The sequence below is a fragment of the Homo sapiens genome, chromosome 1 (genome assembly GCF_000001405.40).
Source record: "Homo sapiens chromosome 1, GRCh38.p14 Primary Assembly".
NCBI lineage: Eukaryota > Metazoa > Chordata > Mammalia > Primates > Hominidae > Homo > Homo sapiens.
Genome location: NC_000001.11, coordinates 7721703 through 7740119, shown reverse-complemented (window position 1 = coordinate 7740119; position 18417 = coordinate 7721703). Strand labels below are relative to the sequence as shown.

The 18417-nt window shown below is 45.8% G+C and overlaps 1 protein-coding gene across 42 annotated transcripts in view, besides 2 other annotated features; it reads right to left on the bottom strand.

The window, feature by feature from the left end:
* Positions 1 to 18417, bottom strand: part of CAMTA1 (calmodulin binding transcription activator 1) — a 984253-nt gene that overhangs the window by 29587 nt on the left and 936249 nt on the right. For 25 of the 42 annotated variants that reach the window (XM_011541084.3, XM_011541083.3, NM_015215.4 and 22 more), the window contains 5 exons: positions 7521 to 7672; positions 3580 to 3776; positions 3111 to 3189; positions 2550 to 2865; positions 1638 to 2161 (listed from right to left, as the gene is read on the bottom strand). In XM_011541084.3, the coding sequence (XP_011539386.1) occupies positions 1638 to 2161; positions 2550 to 2865; positions 3111 to 3189; positions 3580 to 3776; positions 7521 to 7672 (1268 nt within the window). Of the gene's footprint in view, positions 1 to 1637; positions 2162 to 2549; positions 2866 to 3110; positions 3190 to 3579; positions 3777 to 7520; positions 7673 to 11207; positions 11782 to 18417 lie in introns of those variants that run through there. The other 17 variants (XM_011541090.4, NM_001349609.2, NM_001349610.2 and 14 more) reach the window with 2 other exon arrangements.
* Positions 955 to 2154: an enhancer, noted in NCBI's record as "CDK7 strongly-dependent group 2 enhancer chr1:7798026-7799225 (GRCh37/hg19 assembly coordinates)". NCBI's record gives its function as "activates an origin of replication core promoter dependent on BRD2, BRD4, P300/CBP, MED14 and CDK7 cofactors, with strong dependence on CDK7, by STARR-seq in HCT116 cells {active_cell/tissue: HCT116}" and the evidence as "EXISTENCE:reporter gene assay evidence [ECO:0000049][PMID:35650434]".
* Positions 6525 to 6725: a silencer, noted in NCBI's record as "peak40 fragment used in MPRA reporter construct". NCBI's record gives its function as "represses an SCP1 promoter by STARR-seq MPRAs in K562 erythroleukemia cells {active_cell/tissue: K562}" and the evidence as "EXISTENCE:reporter gene assay evidence [ECO:0000049][PMID:32103011]".

The window sequence follows — 18417 nt, the reverse complement described above, 5'->3', positions numbered from 1 at the left end:
GGCTGTGTCCCCACCAAAATCTCATGTTGAACTGTAGCTCCCATAATTCCCATGTGTTGTGGTAGGGAAACTGCAGTGGTCGGTAGGTGATATGGTTTGACTGTGTCCCCACCCAAATTTCATGTTGAACTGTAGCTCCCATAATTCCCATGTGTTGTGGTAGGGAAACTGCAGTGGTCGGTAGGTGATATGGTTTGGCTGTCCTCACCGAAATCTCATCTTGAATTGTAGCTCCCATAATTCCCATGTGTTGTGGTAGGGAAACTGCGGTGGTCAGTAGGTGACATGGTTTGGCTGTGTCCCTACCCAAATCTAATCTTGAACTGTAGCTCCCATAATGCCCACGTATTGTGGGAGGGACCCAGTGGGAGATAACTGAATCACGGGGGTGGTTTCCTCCATACTGTTCTCGTGGTAGTGAAGAAGGCTCTTGAGATCTGATGGTTTTATAAGGGGTTTCCCCTTTCACTCGGCTCTCATTCTCTCTTGCCTGCCACCATATAAGATGTGACTTTCGCCTTCTGCTATGATTGTGAGGCCTCCCCAACCACGTGGAACTGTAAGTCCATTAAACCTCTTTTTCTTTATAAATTCCCCAGTCTGGAGTATGTCCTTATCAGCAGCGTGAGAATGGACTAATACGGTAGGTCAGAAGTGGTGCCCCCGGCAACTCCCCAGAAATGGGAACACATTGGTGAGCATGCAAGCTTCTTTCTCATCCTCTGCAAACAGCAGAGGGCTGGCATGAAGGGGTCCCTGGGATGCAATGAGCAGGAATGGCTCAGAAATCAGGCCTCTCCCAAGATATGCTGACCAGGACATATGATCTCCTCCACACACCTCCCTCTCCTTGTATCACTTCTACAGGCATGGGTGCCCTGTTGAATTCTGAGTCGTTTTTTTTCCCTTTTACGTTTGTTTTAGGTTGCATCAATGGGAAGTTGGAAAGAGAGGAATTCAAACATGTTTTTAGGCTGCCCTTATGGTCCTCCCCTACATATTTTAATAGATGGAATTTGCTTATTAGCCTAATGTCAAGTTTATTTTGGTATATATTCTCTTAGTCCATAACAAGTTTAAGGTCCTGAAAAGATTCTGGAATTTTTAGATTTATTATAAGGGCAATCAATTATCAGCTTCAGGAATATTTCGCTGCCCTCGTGAGAGCCTCACGCCATATATGCCCTTTACAATGGCTAGATGATAGCTATGCCGATCAAGGTCACTCAGATAATTCAAAATCTATCCACGGGCTTCCTGTTCTAGCTATTTTTAGGTCTTGACTATATTCTAACTAGTAACTAGTACTTAAAACAGTGAAATCAATCAACCTAAATGCAAGGAGGAAGCAGATGACGTACTGTAGGGTCCTCAGTGAGTTCTGAGAAGTTGGTACAAAGAGGGAAGGCTTTGCTGAGACCGGGGTCACTGGTATTCAGGCCCTACTCCCGGTGCCCGATTCACCGAATGAAAATGTGGCCCCAAGGAAAGAAGATACTCCAACGATGTTCTGCACAAAGCCAACTTCGAAGGCTTCACGGGGAGGAAAATGACACAACCTTCGGAAATGGACCATAAAGATCACAGCAACTGGAACGCACCAGCCTCTGCGGGCTTACCCTGTCCCTGCTTTTTACCTGTATGTCATCCATGGGCTGGCCGCATTCTTCATTTTCTGCACTATCACGGTAGGACCCCAGCTCTGTATTCACCACCTCTCTGTTAGCCATCATCAGGACACTCATTGGTTCCCGTGGACGCACCTGTGAAGGTGCTGCCTCCTTTCCTACACTGGTCCCCTTCGGATTTCCAGTCACCTGTACTGTAGACACACCAATGTAAAGATCTTTGGAATTCCACTTTCCTACAGGCTGAGATCCAGAGGCTTGAAATGCTGCAGTCTCTGGAGTGGGAGGGGAGAGTTCCCGGCTGAAGTCCCTCACTCCTTCACTGGGGCTGAGTGTCTCGGGGACAGACTGCTTAGAACTAGGGCTTTGCTTCCTGATATTTGGCTCTTCCAGACTCAGTGCAGTGGGAAGCAGCTTCTCCTGCCTTGTCTGGAAGTACTCAGGGTTCAATTTATGCTTTTTGGGAGCCGGATAATCTTTGTGGCTCTCACTGCTGTAGTAATTAGAGGGTTCAGAACGAGGTCTTCTCAGCTCTGAAAAGTACAGTAGAAAGGATAGTCAGGACAGGAGATACAACTAGGAATCCTCAAGAATCAACACTTTCTCTATGCCTGAGAGACACAAAGTGCAAAGCCGGAACTCAAGACACGTCCCTAACATTTAAATATCCCCAGTAGCATACACCAGATTCAGATCTTCCTCCTCCAAAATTATGTATTTCTTGCATGAACATAGAATTTTTGCTACTTTCTTCTGTACTGGGGGAGGGGGCAGCACTAGGCATTCTTAAAGAAAAATCAGAAACATTAACAAAAAAACTGAAATGTATGTGACTATCCTATGGACTCTGCTGAGGGCAGCTGCATGAAAGCAAACGGGATCTCTGTCAAGCTCTGAGATGTCATGATTCTGAATTCTTACCTGGGTTGGTGCTTGCAATAACAGTGACTCCCTTGGGTATTTCTGGAGAGCTGATGGCTTCGCTGTGCCACTGGGCCATCCAGCTCTCTGTGCTGGGCTCTTCGCTTGCAGGACAGTGGATTCTGGGGTTCTGTCCCAGCTGAGCCTGCTCATCTCTCTGCAGGTGCTCCAGACACTCTGCTAATTTCACATGACCCCGTGACCTGGCAATTCCCAAAGGCAGCCTTCCTAGAGAGTCGGGAATCGAGATGGCCCGACGGTCCCACTTGTACAGCACGACGGCAGCTTCCAAGTGCCCTAGGGCACACGCCCACATCTAGAAGACAGGGAGACACAGCAAGCGTTCTCAATCAGAGGTCAAGACCAGACCTGACTTTTGCCATTGCTGCCAACTGACAAACTGGTCCTTGCTGGCAATCTCGGTGGGGCCATTGAAGATTCCCATCCCAAAGTATCTCCGAAACATGCCATGTGTCAGCAAGAGACAACGGTGGGAACCAGGCAAATCCTATGCCAGACTGGAAGAACAGCAAGGGGGGGCTACAGGAATCCATTCCTTACCAGAGGAGTACAGGAGAAGTGGTCCACATTCAAGGGGTCAACTTCCAGTTCCAGGTCAATGCTATCCGCGTGCTTTGTACTATAAGGGAGAGCACCAGAAATTACCACACTATTCACCACCGTTAAAAGGAAACACCAGAATATTATAAAACCCCACCAAGATGAAACCCAACTGGGTATATAACATCCCCATGGTGAAGAAACAGAGTCCCAGGGCAGTGTGGACGCTCCATTTGGCTAGGGGTCCAAAGAAAATGACAAGTCCAACATTTAATTCTTATCTCTCTGGGTATTTCTTGGGAAGAAGTTTATAAAACTCCCTTGGAAACTGTCCAAGGACAAAGCCCTTTGCTCGCCGGCTATAAAGTGGACTGAATGGGTAGATTTCTTCCACGGGTGGCAGTGCTCAGGAAGAATGTGAGCGAGGATGTGCGAGGCTGACCCCCAGCCAGCTGCACCACAGCCTTACCGCCATTTGATGAGGGTCTGGATTAGGGTGGCATAGCCCTGGGCAGCGGCCAGGTGGAGTAGGGTCATTCCGCGGAAAGTCTTTGAGTGGATCAAGTGCTTGGACTTCGCCCAGCAGGCTCGGCTCATCATCTTCTCGCATACCACGACCACACGGCTCTCAAAGCAGCTCCCCAAGGCCCCAGTCCCAGAAGCACACTGTCACAAAAAAGCGCACGTTACGACCTCAGGACTAAAGGCCCTCGACCCCATCAGCGCTTCGATGTAGGGGAAACAAATGCTTTACGATTAGAAACTCACAACGGAAAACATAAAACACTGAAAATAAAGAAACATTGGCTGGGCATGCTGGATCATGCCTGAAATCCTAGCACTTTGGGAGGCCGAGGTGGGAGGATTGCTCGGGAGTTTGAGACCAGCCTGGGCAACATGGTGAGACCCTGTCTCTACAAAAAGTACAAAATTTAGGCTGCGCACAGTGGCTCATGCCTGAAATCCCAGCACTTTGGGAGGCTGAGGCGGGCAGATCTCTTGTGGTCAGGAGTTCGAGACCAGCCTGGCCAACCCTAACCCTAACCCCATCTCTACTAAAAATACAAAAATTAGCCAGGCGTGGTGGTGGGTGCCTGTAATCCCAGCTACTCGGGAGGCTGAGGTGGGAAGATCACCTGAGCCTGGAGAGGTTGAGGCTACAGTGAGCTGTGATCGCGCCACTGCATTCCAGCCTGGGTGACAGAGCAAGACCTTGTCTCAAAAAACAACAACAACAACAAAAAACCCAAACCCCCAAGAACCATCCATGAAATTGAGACTAGAATGTGCTTAGCTTCAGCTCAGTAGCACTTCTCTGAAGTCCACAGCTCTACAGACACGAGTCTATCTATTAGGGCTGACACTCTGATTAGGAACTTCATGCCGATTCGTCTTGGGGAAAGTGTACACAGCCTTAAACAAAAAAAAGTGGTTCTAGCCTTCCTGTAGGCAGTAAACTGTTGTGAGACAGTGGAGCAGAGTAGCTTTCCTAATGTTTCCACTGGCGGGTATAGCGGCTCTTTCACTCTCTTTCTTCTTCTTCTTTTTTCTTTTTTTTTTTTTTTGAGACAGAGTCTCGCTCTGTCACCCAGGCTGGAGTGCAGTGGCACGATCTTGGCTCATTCCAACCTCTGCTTCCTAGGTTCAAGCAATTTCTAGCTAATTTTTGTATTTTTAGCGGAGATAGGGTTTCACCATGTTGGCCAGGCTGGTCTCGAACACCCGATCTCAAGTGATCTGCCTGCCTCAGCCTCCCAAGTGCTAGGTTCCTGGCATGAGCCACCGCGCCCAGCCTCTTGCTTCTTCTGAAGGAGAATTAGATCACTTAGATGCGGACTGTTTTTTCCTTAAAGAAATGACTAGAAGTATCCAATAATCCAGTCCTTTATGTAAAGTAAAAAGAATACTGAGAAAAGCATTTAGAGATCCTGAAATTTAAGTGTTATTAATAACAATAAGGGCTATAGGAAAGAGAAGTTTACTAATTTTAACCACATGGGTTACTTCCTATGAACCAGTTGTAATGGAAGAAAAATAAAATGAAAGTTAGTAACTTCAACAGCTTATGTGAGTCTCTGTGATAGCAGTTTTATGTTTAACACTCCCCCAAATAAATGGCACCTCTAGGCTAATTTGTATCTCTGGTGTTACTTAAAAAGTACTTTTTTTTTCTGGCAATAAACTCCATAAACTTTACTTACTACAGAAATACTATGGCTCCTCGCTGATTTTTATTTTTAAATGTGGAAAAAATGCCTCCCAAAATAAAAAAGGCAGATGATGGGATTGTTATCTCAGCCTCATCAAAGCTGTAAAAACACCTACAGGAGCAGAGTTAGGTGATCCCAACATGCCGCAAACTGACCTTGACTCAAAAGGCCAAGGCACAGCCATTCTACACACACAAGACACATTCATGAGCACATGGAAATGGCCAGAGTGAACGAAAAGGGAATTTTTTTTTTTTTGTATTAAACAAAAACAGTCATGTCTCTATCCCGCATGGCAAACACGGACATTTACTGAAGGCAACTTAAACTGATGAAAGGATATTCAGTAGTGGTTAACATGGGATGAGATTCTAGGCCAGTTGCATAGCGTTTGAGCCAGCTGCGTAGTGGCTGAGCTTTAAAATGACATTACATACCATTCCTTTTATGCCACTTTTGTTGGTGAAAGGAAAAGTATTTTAAGGAGATCTCTTATGTGAGCCATGAGGTAAATTAAACAATGATTACTTCTTTTATAAAACTTAGTACTATCGGCCGGGCACGGTGGCTTATGTCTGTAATCCCAGCACTTTGGGAGGCCGAGGCAGGCGGATCACCTGAGGTTGGGAGTTCGAGACCAGTCTGACCAAGGTGGGGAAACCCCGTCTCTACTAAAAATACAAAATTAGCCAGGCGTGGTGGCCCATGCCTGTAATCCCAGCTACTTGGGAGGCTGAGGCTGGAGAATCGCTTGAACCTCGGAGGCGGAGGCTGCAGTGAGCCAAGATTGTGTCACTGCACTGCACCTGGGCGACAGAGCAAGACTTCGTGTCAAAAAGAAAAAAAAGAAGCCTATCTTAGCCTTAATAATATTCTACTGCGTGCCAAGTTGTTTCTTTCCTGCTGATTTCTGAAGACAGGGGAGCAATATGAAAACACGGGGAGGAAGGAGGCTAGCCTTTTGGGTGTGGCATATGATGTTCTTTTAACCTATTATTTAAAATATAACTAAACTTGATATTTATGAGGTTCATAAAACCAAAAATATTCACCTAAAAACTTAACTGTGTAAAGGAAATCATCATTTGTCTTGAAGAGAAAGAGGGGGCATTATTTGAGGTTTTTTTTGCAACGACTGAGTAGTGGAGATAAGAAATACCATCAGTTCCTTTAAATTTATCTCTAGGGTCCCCTGAGAAATAATTTCTCCCTGGGAGACTTCCCAAAAATGAACTTCCTAAATGAAATGTATATAAAGCCTTCAAGACCAATGGGACTCTGAAACAATGTTTGGTAATTTACTCGTACTTGGCAATATCATACATTCTTTATGGAACTTACAGAAAGTTTGTGAAAGAGGCTGTAATGTATAATGTCATTCTACACTGAATCATTACATAAACACTTTCTCTGGGCTCTTTTCATACTGACCTTGAGTTTATAAAAGGCTTATGAATTACTGAATTCAATTATGTTTTATACCTACACTTAAGATAGGGATAAAATACAGAATAGAAAGTAGGAAGATTCTAAATTAATTCTGAACCCTAGCAGGTCTAAGTCACCATCTGGCCTTTTTTTTTCTTCTTCTTCTTTTTGAGACAGGGTCTTATTCTGTTGACCAGGTCAGAGTGCAGTGGAGTGATCATGGCTCACTGCAGCCTCAACCTCCCGGGCTCAAGTGATCCTCCCACTTCAGCCTCCTGAGTAGCTGGGACCACAGGGATGTCCCACCACGCCTGGCTAATTAAAAAAAATTTTTTTTTTCTATAGAGACAGGGTCTCAGTATGTTGCTCAGGCTGGTCGTGAACTCCTGGGCTCAAGCAATCCTCCCGTCTTGGCCTCCTACAGCGCTGGGATTATAGGCGTGAGCCACCATGCCCAGCCAGCCTCTATTTTTCAATTGGTTGTCCTTAATTCCCACTGCCCTGTAATTTAGTAGTGAATTCTGAGATTAATAGAGATAACTTAAGGATTAGGGGGGTAAACAACTGAGAAGCTCCACATTCCAAGGCTTCTTCCATACTGCACAGATTATAATGCTTAAAAGCACAGGTACCGTAAAGTACTCCCTCAGGCCTTCTGCCTGAATACAGGGACCGCATCAGCAGCAGAGAAGAGGCCTGTGATCCATCCACTGCCTCGCCAATCCATAAACATGAAGCGAAATGGGAGCTGAGCATCAGCACCGCCTCGTACCTGTGCCTGGCTCCCTCCATTCCCGCTCCCGCTGCCGCCTCCACTGCTGCCGCCTCCGCTCGCCTGTTTGTGCTGCTGGGACCCCGTCATCTCGGCCATCCTCCTCTCCATCTGCTCCAGTCGTTCCAGGATGGACATCCTGAACTGGTTATCTAGGGCAGAGCAGGAGGAAGAGTGAGGTTGTGTTCTGGAAGAAAAGCAGTCAACACGTGGCCTCGCCAGCCTTGCGGGACCAGCATCCAAATGCCGTCCGTAACTTCACCAAACCAGAGAGGTCTCCGCCAGCCAGAGTTCCCCAGCACGATCGTGAATCTGTCACCACCTCACACAGGATGGTGGCACCTTCAGCAGCCCGAAGTTCTCGGATAAAAGACCAGAAATTCTCTTTTTGTCAAAGATCAAAAAGAGGTTCAGGTTCCTGCCCCCTAGTTTCTTTGTCAAATTCCCCAACGGAAACCCTGACATGAGATCTGGTAGAGAGCCCTCTAGAGCAAGTAAAATAAATAAATACAATTTAAATTAAACTAGTAGAAGAAAGCAATCACAGCAAGAAAGGAAGGTATGTTAGACAAAAAAAAAAAAAGGTAGTATATCTTTTACCAAAACACTGAGTTTTTACAAAAAAAAATTGTTTTAAATTTTATTTCCTGAGCCAAGCTCTAGCTTTTATAATTTATTTCAGGAATAGCATCATTCAGTGCCTGAGACTGTTACACCCTTTTTTGAGACAGTCTCACGTTGTCGCCCAGACTGGAGTGCATTGGTGTGATCTAGGCTTATTTGCAACTTCCACTTCCCAGGCTCAAGCCATCCTCCCATCTCAGCCTCCCGAGCAGATGGAACCATAGGTGTGCACCACCATGCCCAGCTAATTTTTGTTTTTGTTTTTGTTTTGTAGAGATGGAGTTTCACCATGTTGCCCAGGTTGGTCTCAAACTCCTGGGCTCAAGGAATCAAAAGTGCTGGGATTACAGGTGTGAACCACCGTACTCAGCCACATTTCTTTCTTTTCTTTTTTTTTTTTTTTTGAGACAGAGTGTCATGGTGTCGCCCAGGCTGGAGTGCAATGGCGCAATCTCAGCTCACTGTAACCTCTGCCTCCCGGGTTAAAGTGATTCTCCTGCCTCAGCCTCCCAAGTAGCTGGGACTACAGATGCCTGCAACCACACCTCACTAATTTTTGTATTTTTAGTAGAGGCGGGGTTTCACTACGTTGGCCAGGCTGGTCTTGAACTCCTGACCTCGTGATCTGCCCACCTCGGCCTCCCAAACTGCTGGGATTACAAGCATGAACCACTGCGCCCAGCCCCACATTTCTTTTAACCCATGTCTCATCGGAGACAAACATAAATAGGTACTTCACTTCTACATCAGAGAAACAACAGGAATTACTGTTGGAGCTAGGATTGAAACTCAAAGAGAAAACACGTTGTGATTCTGTACCACTTTACTAAGATTAGAACACGTCTCTCCACATTCCTGCATTTACACACACATGTGCATGCACACACAAACATACACATGTTAGAATTGGGTCACCTATCCATGTACATAAGAGGAGTTAAATCGATGTTAAAATCAATCATGCCCACGCTCGCTTCATATATGTATATCTATATACGCTTATGACATATATATCATATATATGTTAAATATATATATATATATATAGAGAGAGAGAGAGAGAGAGATTGAGACTTTGAGATGGAATCTCACTCTGTTGCCCAGGCTGGAGTGCAATGGCATGATCTTGGCTCACTGCAACCTCCGCCTCCTGAGTTTAAGCGATTATCTTGGCTCAGCCACCCAAGTAGCTGGGACTACAGGCACATGCCACCAGGCCCAGCTAATCTTTTTTGTATTTTTAGTAGAGACGGGGTTTCACCATGTTGGCCAGGCTGGTCTTGAACTCCTGACCTCAAGTGATCTGCCCGCCTCAGCCTCCCAAAGTGCTGGGATTACAGGCTGAAACCCCGTGCCTGGCCACACCTCACAAATTTTAAGGAACACTGTGCCAGATATTCAATAGCGAAGAGGGGAGGTCTCTCCCTACTCTAGCACAGGCAGGCCTTGGTAAGTGAAGAAGGCAGGATAACGTAATAAGGAGGGATGGGATGGGGACAGAGTTTAGACAAGTCAGGAAAGGTGACACTTCGAGTTTGCTCAGAATGATGAGAAAGAGCCAAACATGTCCAGAACTGAGGCCTGGTAATAGCACATGCGAAGGCCCTGAGGCAGGGCTTTCAGGGAGCAGAAGACCGTGTGGCTGGAGCACAGAGGGAGGGAGAGCAGGAGACGCAGGAGACGATAGAGCTGGAGGTGTGCAGGAGTCAGACCAGTGAATGGCTGTGCAGAGCCCTGGCTCTGCCATATAAAAGCTGTGTAGCTTTGAACTTAGAACAAAACCTTTCATGCCTCCGTTTCCTCAACCCTTAAATGGGGACAGTAGTTACACCTACCTCAGAGGGCTGTTAATCTATGTAAGTGCTCAGAACATGATAAATCCTAGGTTAGCATGCTTGCCATCACCATCATCTTTAGACAAATGAAGTCAATGTCTGTGGAAGCTGACTGAACAGCTGTGACCACATATTTCTCCTCCAACTGTTGAGAACATAACTATTTTCAAAATACAGTCATCTGAATCATGCAAAGGGATAATCTGGAGAAGAAATATTTTATCACCACTCCTTACCATCCTGACTATAAATTCCAAGACTAGCGAGCAAAGCGTACGACGGTTCCATGTGAGAGAAAACAACAGGCAGAGATAGCACTCACAGAATGCTTCCTGCACACCAGGCACCACTGCGTCACTGTGCAGATATTAACTCATTTACTCTTCACAACCATCACGTGAGGTAGGTGTTGTTATTATCCTCATTTTCCAGATGAGAAAACTGAGGCACATGGAGATAACCCATCTGTCTGGCCCCAGGGCTGGGAGTATAACCAGATACGCCAAGAAGAAGGAAGGGTGATGGGAAGAAAAGATGCATAGGCATGAGGCAGTCTTACCAGAAGGAGACAATATTCTCACTCTCTAGAAAGCTTAGCTCTACTCAAAAGACAGTCAATACCCAGTCAGCAGTTCAGTCCTCACTTCAGATCAAACTGATTTTACTTTACTAAAACACAAAAGCAAGAGGAAGGTTGCTTTTTAAGAATCTTGATATTATTTTCTGGCCAGGCAAGGTGGCTCACGCCTGTAATCCCACCACTTTGAGAGGCTGAGACAGATCACTTGAGGTCAGGAGTTCAAGACCAGCCTGGCCAACATGGTGAAACCCAGTCTCTACTAAAAACACAAAAAAAGCTAGCTGGGTGTGGTGGTGTATGCCTGTAGTCCCAGCTACTCAGGAGGCTGATACAGGAAAATCGCTTGAACTCAGGAGGTGGAGGTTACAGTGAGCCGAGATGGCACCACTGCACTCCAGCCTGGGTGACAGAGTGAGACTCTGTCTCAAAAAAAAAAGAAAAAAAAAGATTCCTCATATTAATTTCTAATAAACTACTTCCAGGAACAACAATGCAAGAAAGATACTTCCTCTTTTAAAGCGAAAAATAACGTCTTCCTTCCAATTGCACAACTATGGATGGACAGACACAGGCAAACTTGGAGGATCCTGCCACTAAGTGTCTCACTCAGTGGCAACTTCCCACAGGGAGGTAACTCTGAATACACACTGTGTGGGGTAACCTGCACACGGCCGTTCTCATCCTGTGACCACCAGCAGAAAACACAAGATGACTACAGAGGTTGCGCTGGTGTCTTTACTCCAGATGCCATGCCTCTTTGTTAGAAATCTGAAATCTTGCAGATCACAGGTCTCTTCCATGTGAAGCCTAAGAAGTTGACTCTTCAGTTAGAGTTCAGTTCCAAGCAGCATGGCAGTTGCCCTTTGCAGGATATTATAAACTCCTCTGCTTATTCCTGATGCTGCTAAGCCAGACAACCATTGATCTCGGAACCTACTTGGAGATCGTTATGCATCCCATTGAAATGACTTGACTGAATTTTAAACCTCCATAGCCACAGATCTGTGATTTCTTCTGCAAGTCTACAAATCTTGCATCTGGTTAACGAGTTTTCAGCATCCATTTCACTTGTTCCAGAGCACTCTGGAACCAATCTGCAACTGAGTGGCCAAGATCAACATCCGGTGGCAGACAAAGGGGCAGAAAAGCACCAAAGGTGCTCTCTGAGCTGTGGTCAGCCTGGAGCGAGCCTGCCTGCTGCCCGTGGAGGTGGCTTTGTGCTGCAGTGTGCTGCAGTGCGGTCCCCGCATCAGCTGTCCCCTGCCCATCCCCCCGCCAAGCACGGGCACTGCAGAAACAGACCTTCCCTGACATCACTGAGTCAGGCCCTGCCCACGGCGTCACCCGGTCAACCCCTCCAACAGTCACAGTGACTCTGTGTGTGCCACAGAGGTGACCAGCTTTTGTTCCCCAGCTGCATTCCCTGTTGCTATGCCATGAGTGCATGATATTAAGCTGCTCTGAGAAGCACCTCATGAAAATACTCAGAAGCAATTATGTGCCTCTTAACAAAATCATATCATGCATAACGGCATCTCTGAGCCTCTCAATTCCAAAGGGGAAGCGAGTGATAATTAAAATAAAAAACCAATCTCAAATGCAAATGACTGAGCTGGCACCCAGGGAGTGCGGTCTGTTGCACTGTGCTATGCAAGTTCAGAGAGACTTTCTCCTCACATGTCCTTTCCTCTGCACGGGGCCAGGGCCCAGCTCTTGAGGTTGTAAGGCTTAGATGGATAAAATGATGGTCTTTACATCTCCACACTAGCAAGCCAAAAGCAACGCCTTTACGCTTGTTTTGGTTTTACAGCTTTATTAGGATAATTAAAACACTGTGAAATATTTGGCAAATTGAGAGCTGTGCATTGCTTTAACTGTATGCTGTGTGTGATTACGGGATATAGGGAATACAATTACTTAGAAGCAAAGAAGAATTTCTGATTACATTAGAGTAAATAAGTACATTTGAAAGATTCACTTATTCATGCACAAATATTCACTGGAGCACCTACTATGTATGCACCAGGCAGTAGGGAGTACTTAGAACAGCAGTGAAAATATCCTTGCCCTCTTTTGTCGACCAACAGATAATTTCTGCAGCCCGAACAAACCTGGAGTTTTAAATTAATACAAAGCAGAGGCTGGGCGCGGTGGCTCACGCCTGTAATCCCAGCACTTTGGGAGACCGAGGCAGGTGGATCACAAGATCAGGAGATCCAGACCATCCTGGCTAACACGGTGAAACCCCGTCTCTACTAAAAATACAAAAAATTAGCCGGGTGTGGTGGCGGGCGCCTGTAGTTCCAGCTACTCAGGAGGCTGAGGCAGGAGAATGGCGTGAACCCAGGAGGCGGAGCTTGCAGTGAGCCGAGATCGCGCCACTGCACTCCACCCTAGGCGACAGAGCGAGACTCTGTCTCAAAAAAAAAAAAAAAAAAATTAATACAAGGCAGAGAAAGGGGAGTAGGAATAATGCGTAGATTTAGGGAGCTGATGAGTTTGGTCCTAGTTCTTACCCATGATGCTTCAAACAAAGACAACAGGGTGAGCTTTGAGGGCTTCCAAGTGGATGTCCTTAGGACAGTCCAAGTGAAGCAGCTGAACTACTCCATCGGGAGAAAATTCTGCACAGAAGGAAAGTTACAAGTGCAAGTTTCCATGGGCACATGAGGCTCAGAGGTGGCTCAAGGCCACAGGAGGCTCCAGAGGTCCCCGCAAAGAAAGCCAGCTGCTCTAGCTCCACTTCCTGCCTGGCGGTTCTGAGATTTTTAGTTCTTATCCTGAAATATTAGGCTATATCCGTCGCACCGGAAGAACAAGTTCCTGCTTCATCACAGAACAGGCACTCTATATTTGCTGCAGCGAGTGAACTCTGGGCAAGGGTACAGAAAAGAGGTGCACAGAGGCCTGTTTCTAGTAACACAGGCTGGCCTCCTGTTGAAGACATGAGGATGACAGACGCATAACCCAGAGACAGACACCACCATCCTAAGCATTTTACCCAAGAAAATAAAAATTTACATAACATTTCTACACATACATGCTTCAGTAAAAAACAGTATAAAGAGCCACCTACTTAGAGCCTTCTAGGTATCAATACAAACCTCACAAAAGTTAGTTGCAATGATACCCTACCTTCAAGTGGGAACAATGACCAAACTTTTGTGGCCACATAGGAGGCTATAAATAAATACATATAGTTTGTATCCTGCGGGGTGTATAGGTGAATGTTAGATCCAGAACTACACTGAGCTATCAGCCATGTCCTCCCCAGCGAAACTATAAACTTTCTGAGGGCATGGAAGAGCAGGGCAGAGTAGGAAAAGGCAAAAGCAAAAAAAAATCCTTTGACAGACAAGGAAGTATCAAATGATACAAAATAAAGTGTCAACTGGGCTGAGGTTCCCCAACTCTTAACCCCTCTGGGTAAGTCCCATAACTCCTGGATCTAAAGACTCAGGCAAAGTGAGCTCTGAATGATGTCTTACTTCTGGTGCAGAACCTCTGGGTGTGAGTCTCAGCTTCCCTTCCAGTGGCAGACTCTCCGTGCGTGACCCACCTGCCTGTTCCCGGCTAGAGGCCGTGTGCTGTGAGTCTGTGTGTGACCCACCCGCCTGTTCCTGGCTGGAGGCTGTGAGTCTGTGTGTGTGACCCACCCGCCTGTTCCTGGCTGGAGGCTGTGTGCTGCCCTAGATGGCGGCTTCTGCTCATCCCAGTGACCATTCCTCTAGACCAGAGGTTCTCAAACTTTAGGAGGGCTTCTTAAGACAGACTGCTGGGCCCTATTCCCAGAGTTTTGGTCCAGTGGGTCTGAGTGAGACCCAGAGGCTGCATTGCTAACAAGGTCCCAGGCAGTTCTGATGCTTCTGGTCTAGGGCCACATTTCAAGAACCGCTGCCCTAAGACCCTGGCCTGTTTCCACAGTGAAAGAATGACTCCTCTCTCCTCCACCCAAGTGCCTGTTAAGAATGATCCCAGAACCACCTGCTCAAACAGAAGCAGAGATTCCTACCCAGCATGGGTATGTGAGGCATCACCTCATGTGAACCATGCCAGAGCCATCCGCAGTAGCTCTGTTGACAATAACTGGGTGCACATTTTCTTCTCAAGCACCCCAACTCAGACCAGGCGATACTCGAAAACGATTTAAAACCCAGCCACCTGCACTGCTGTCTGCAACGGATCAAGTACTCCTCTACCATTCCCATTGCATCTGACCTCTTTATTACTTTGTCCTTTACTCAGCTGACAACATGGGCTGTCTTTCCAGGTGTCTGTCTCCGCCTCTCGTGTTTCTCTAAAGCAGTCTATTTTCCTGAAAGGTTCCAGGGAATGAGGAAGGATACATTCACCTTCATGCAGTAGTTCCTTCCCGCTACCTTCCAGACATGCACGCGCATGTAAATCCCCGGACAAAAACTCAATCATTCTGACGGCTTTCATAGCAACCGTCCGGCTCCTGATTCATTCAAAGCTTCTCTTCATGAACCTCTTCTCCCTGTGCTCCTTTTTTGTGGAAGCAGCAGTTTCAGCCTGGGCAGCTCTGAGACAGTGCAAAGAACACTGGAGTAGAAATAAGAGCCCCAGGTTTAATCCTGTCACTGTGTGACTTTGGAAAAATGATTCCCACTTTGCACCTCAATTTTCTCATCTGTAAAATGGGGATATTTATATACATATCCCTTCTTGTTTGTGAGGATGAAATAAACTAATACATGCGATCTTTTTTTTTTTTTTTTTTTGAGAGTCTCGCTCTGTTGCCCAGGCTGGAGTGCAGTAGTGCGATCTCGGCTCACTGCAACCTCCGCCTCCTGGGTTCATGCCATTCTCCTGCCTCAGCCTCCCGAGTAGCTGGGACTACAGGCATGAGCCACCACACCTGGCTAATTTTTTGTATTGATGGAGTTTCACCATGTTAGCCAGGATGGTCTCAATCTCCTGACTTCGTGATCTGCCCACCTCAGCCTCCCAAAGTGCTAGGATTACAGGCGTGAGCCACCGCGCCCGGCCCATACATGCAATCTTTTGAAGGAATATGACTCTCTTATGCCTGAGCTAGTAGACTGGGGCCTTCTGCCCAGCCCCATCTATGGGAGCATGGTTAAAAAATTAAACATTTTTTCGAGTAATTTTAGATTTACAGATAAGTTGCAAAGATCGTAGAGTTCCCATATGCCCCTCACTCAGTTTCCTCTAACATGGTATCTTATGTAACCATGGCACATTTGTCAAAACTAAGAAACTAGTATTGGTATATTAGAGCTATTAACTAAATTAAAGACTTGAAACCGATTTTAGCACTTTTTCCATGAATGTCCTTTTTCTGTTCCAGGATCTAACCCAGGATCCCGCATTGTGTTTAGTTTTGAAGTCTCCTTAGTGTCCTTGGATCTGTGACAGTTTCTCCATATTCCTTTACTTTTCAAGATTTTAACAGTTTTAGGCCGGGCGCAGTGGCTCGCGCCTGTAATCCCAGCACTTTGGGAGGCTGAGGCCGGTGGATCACCTGAGGTCAGGAATTTGAGACTAGCCTGGCCAACATGGTGAAACCCATCTCTACTAAAAATACAAAAATTAGCCGGGTGTGGTGGTGGGCACCTGTAATCCCAGCTACTTGGGAGATTGAGGCAGGAGAGTTACTTGAACCCAGGAGGCAGAGGTTGCAGTGAGCTGAGATCACACCACTGAACTCCAGCCTGCCAGTCTGGGTGACAGAGTGAAACTCTATCTCCAAACAAAAATTTAACAGTTTTGAAGAATACTGGTCAGGTATTTTGGAGACATCCCTCAATTTAGGTTTGCCTGGTGTTTTCTAACCCTTAGACTGGGTTCTGGGTTTTTAGGAAGAGTATCAGAGGTGAGGCACCCTGCTCATCACATACAATCAGAGGTATAATGATGTCCTGGAGAGGTCAGCCTCCATCATTTGGTTAAGGCAATGTTTGCTACATTGCTGTACTGTGAAGTTACAATTTTTCTCTTTCCGTTCTTTGGAACTAAGTCACTAAGTCCAGTCCCAACAACAAGAGGGTAACTAAGTTCCACCTCGCAGACGGGGGAGTATCTACATATATTATTTGGAGTTCTCCTGTAAGGAAGATTTGTCCTTATTTATTTATGTATTTAGTCAATCACTTATTTATATCAGTATGGACTCCTGTACATTTATTCTAAACTTTGGGTCACAATCTGATACTGTTATTTATTTTGTTGCTCCAAGTGTTCCAGCTTTGGCCATCAGGAGCTCTTTCCGGCTGACCCTTATGCCCCTCTGACGTGCCCTCATCCTTTTTTCTTCCTTTTAGCACTTCCTTCCTTTCTGGCATTACAAGATGCTCCAGATTCATCTCTCATTTCCCCTGTGCCAATCCTAGAACTGTCCATTTCTCTAAGGAGTGGAGCTTTGGTTCTTTTTATTGGAGAACGGTATTTAGAAATGAACATCTGGGTGCTGAGCGTTCATTGCTATTGAGGTATCACTGCTTCTAGGCCTTCTCGATGGGAAAGCTAGGAAATATACGTATATATGTATATATCTACCTGTATACACACTAATGTAAACATGAGTTCCTACTGATGTCTCTGTGTCTACTATAGCACTGCAGTGTTTATTAGAGCCTTCTGAGGGTATTTTTTTTTAGAGCTGCGGTCTTGCTATGTTGCCCAGACTGGTCCTGAACTCCTGGCCTCAAGCTATCCTCCTGCCTGCCTCAGCCTTCCAAAGTGCTGCAATTACAGGCATGAGCCACCATGCCCAGCTGGCATTTTAAAAATAGATCAAATGATGATGAAAGTAACTGTGTGTGTTACCTAGCTGTAATAAACCGATAAATGAAATGCTGAAAAGAAACCTTATTGATATATTAAACTAAAAAAAAAAGAGACCTTCAGGTTTAACTCCTGTATCTCAAAAGTATAAGCATAGGTTATAGTATAGTAGTATATTCATTTACCTTATTATACTTCAATTCTTAGTTTCCAACAATATTAGAAAGCATAAGTATAAATAGAAATAGACTCATAATCCCAGAATAGCTTTGAGTATTACAACGATCAAGAAGAAGATGAAAAAACTCTTCCAAACAATGGCCCAAGGGTCAAGGAATGGTTAGTTGGGGCTTCAGATTCCCTTTTCTTTTGCTGGGTCGACCCCATCCTAGCCTCTCCATCACAGCTGTTCCACGAAGTGTCACACAGCACAGTCATGGGACATCTTTTCCTCTTTCTCTGACAGGGGTTCCTAACCTTCAAAGGGACTCACTTTAAAATGTCCCAAATTAATATTCATTTAAATGTTTAAAATTCCTTAGCAATGTTTTAAAGACAGAGACAATTTCATGAAATCAGACACCCACAGTGTGTTCTAAGTTTAGAAGGGCTGGGATTTGCTGCTGTAAAAGTGGAGAATCCCGAGTGTCTGGGCGTCTGCTGTGAGTGAGAAAGTGTCTATGCCAGGAAACCAGCTCCTAGCCAGATTTCCCAGGCCCTCAGGCCCCAGCAGCACCTACTGCTTCCTCTGGATTTTACACAACTCACTTTCAATCTTCAAATCTAATCAATTTTCCTGGTTGTACTGAGCAATACACCAGGAGATGGTTCCTGATATTTTATCAGATAATTTAGTTTAAAAAATTAAGTCCCTCCTCTGTCTGGGCGTGGTGGCTCACACTTGTAATCCCAACACTGTGGGAGGCTGAGGTGGGCGGATCACCTGAGGTCGGGAGTTCAAGACCAGCCTGGCCAACATGGCGAAACCCCATCTCTAATAAAAATACACTGCACTCCAGCCTGGGCGATGGAGTGAGACTCTGTCTCAAAAAAATAAATAAATAAAAATAAGGTAAAATAAATCCCTCCT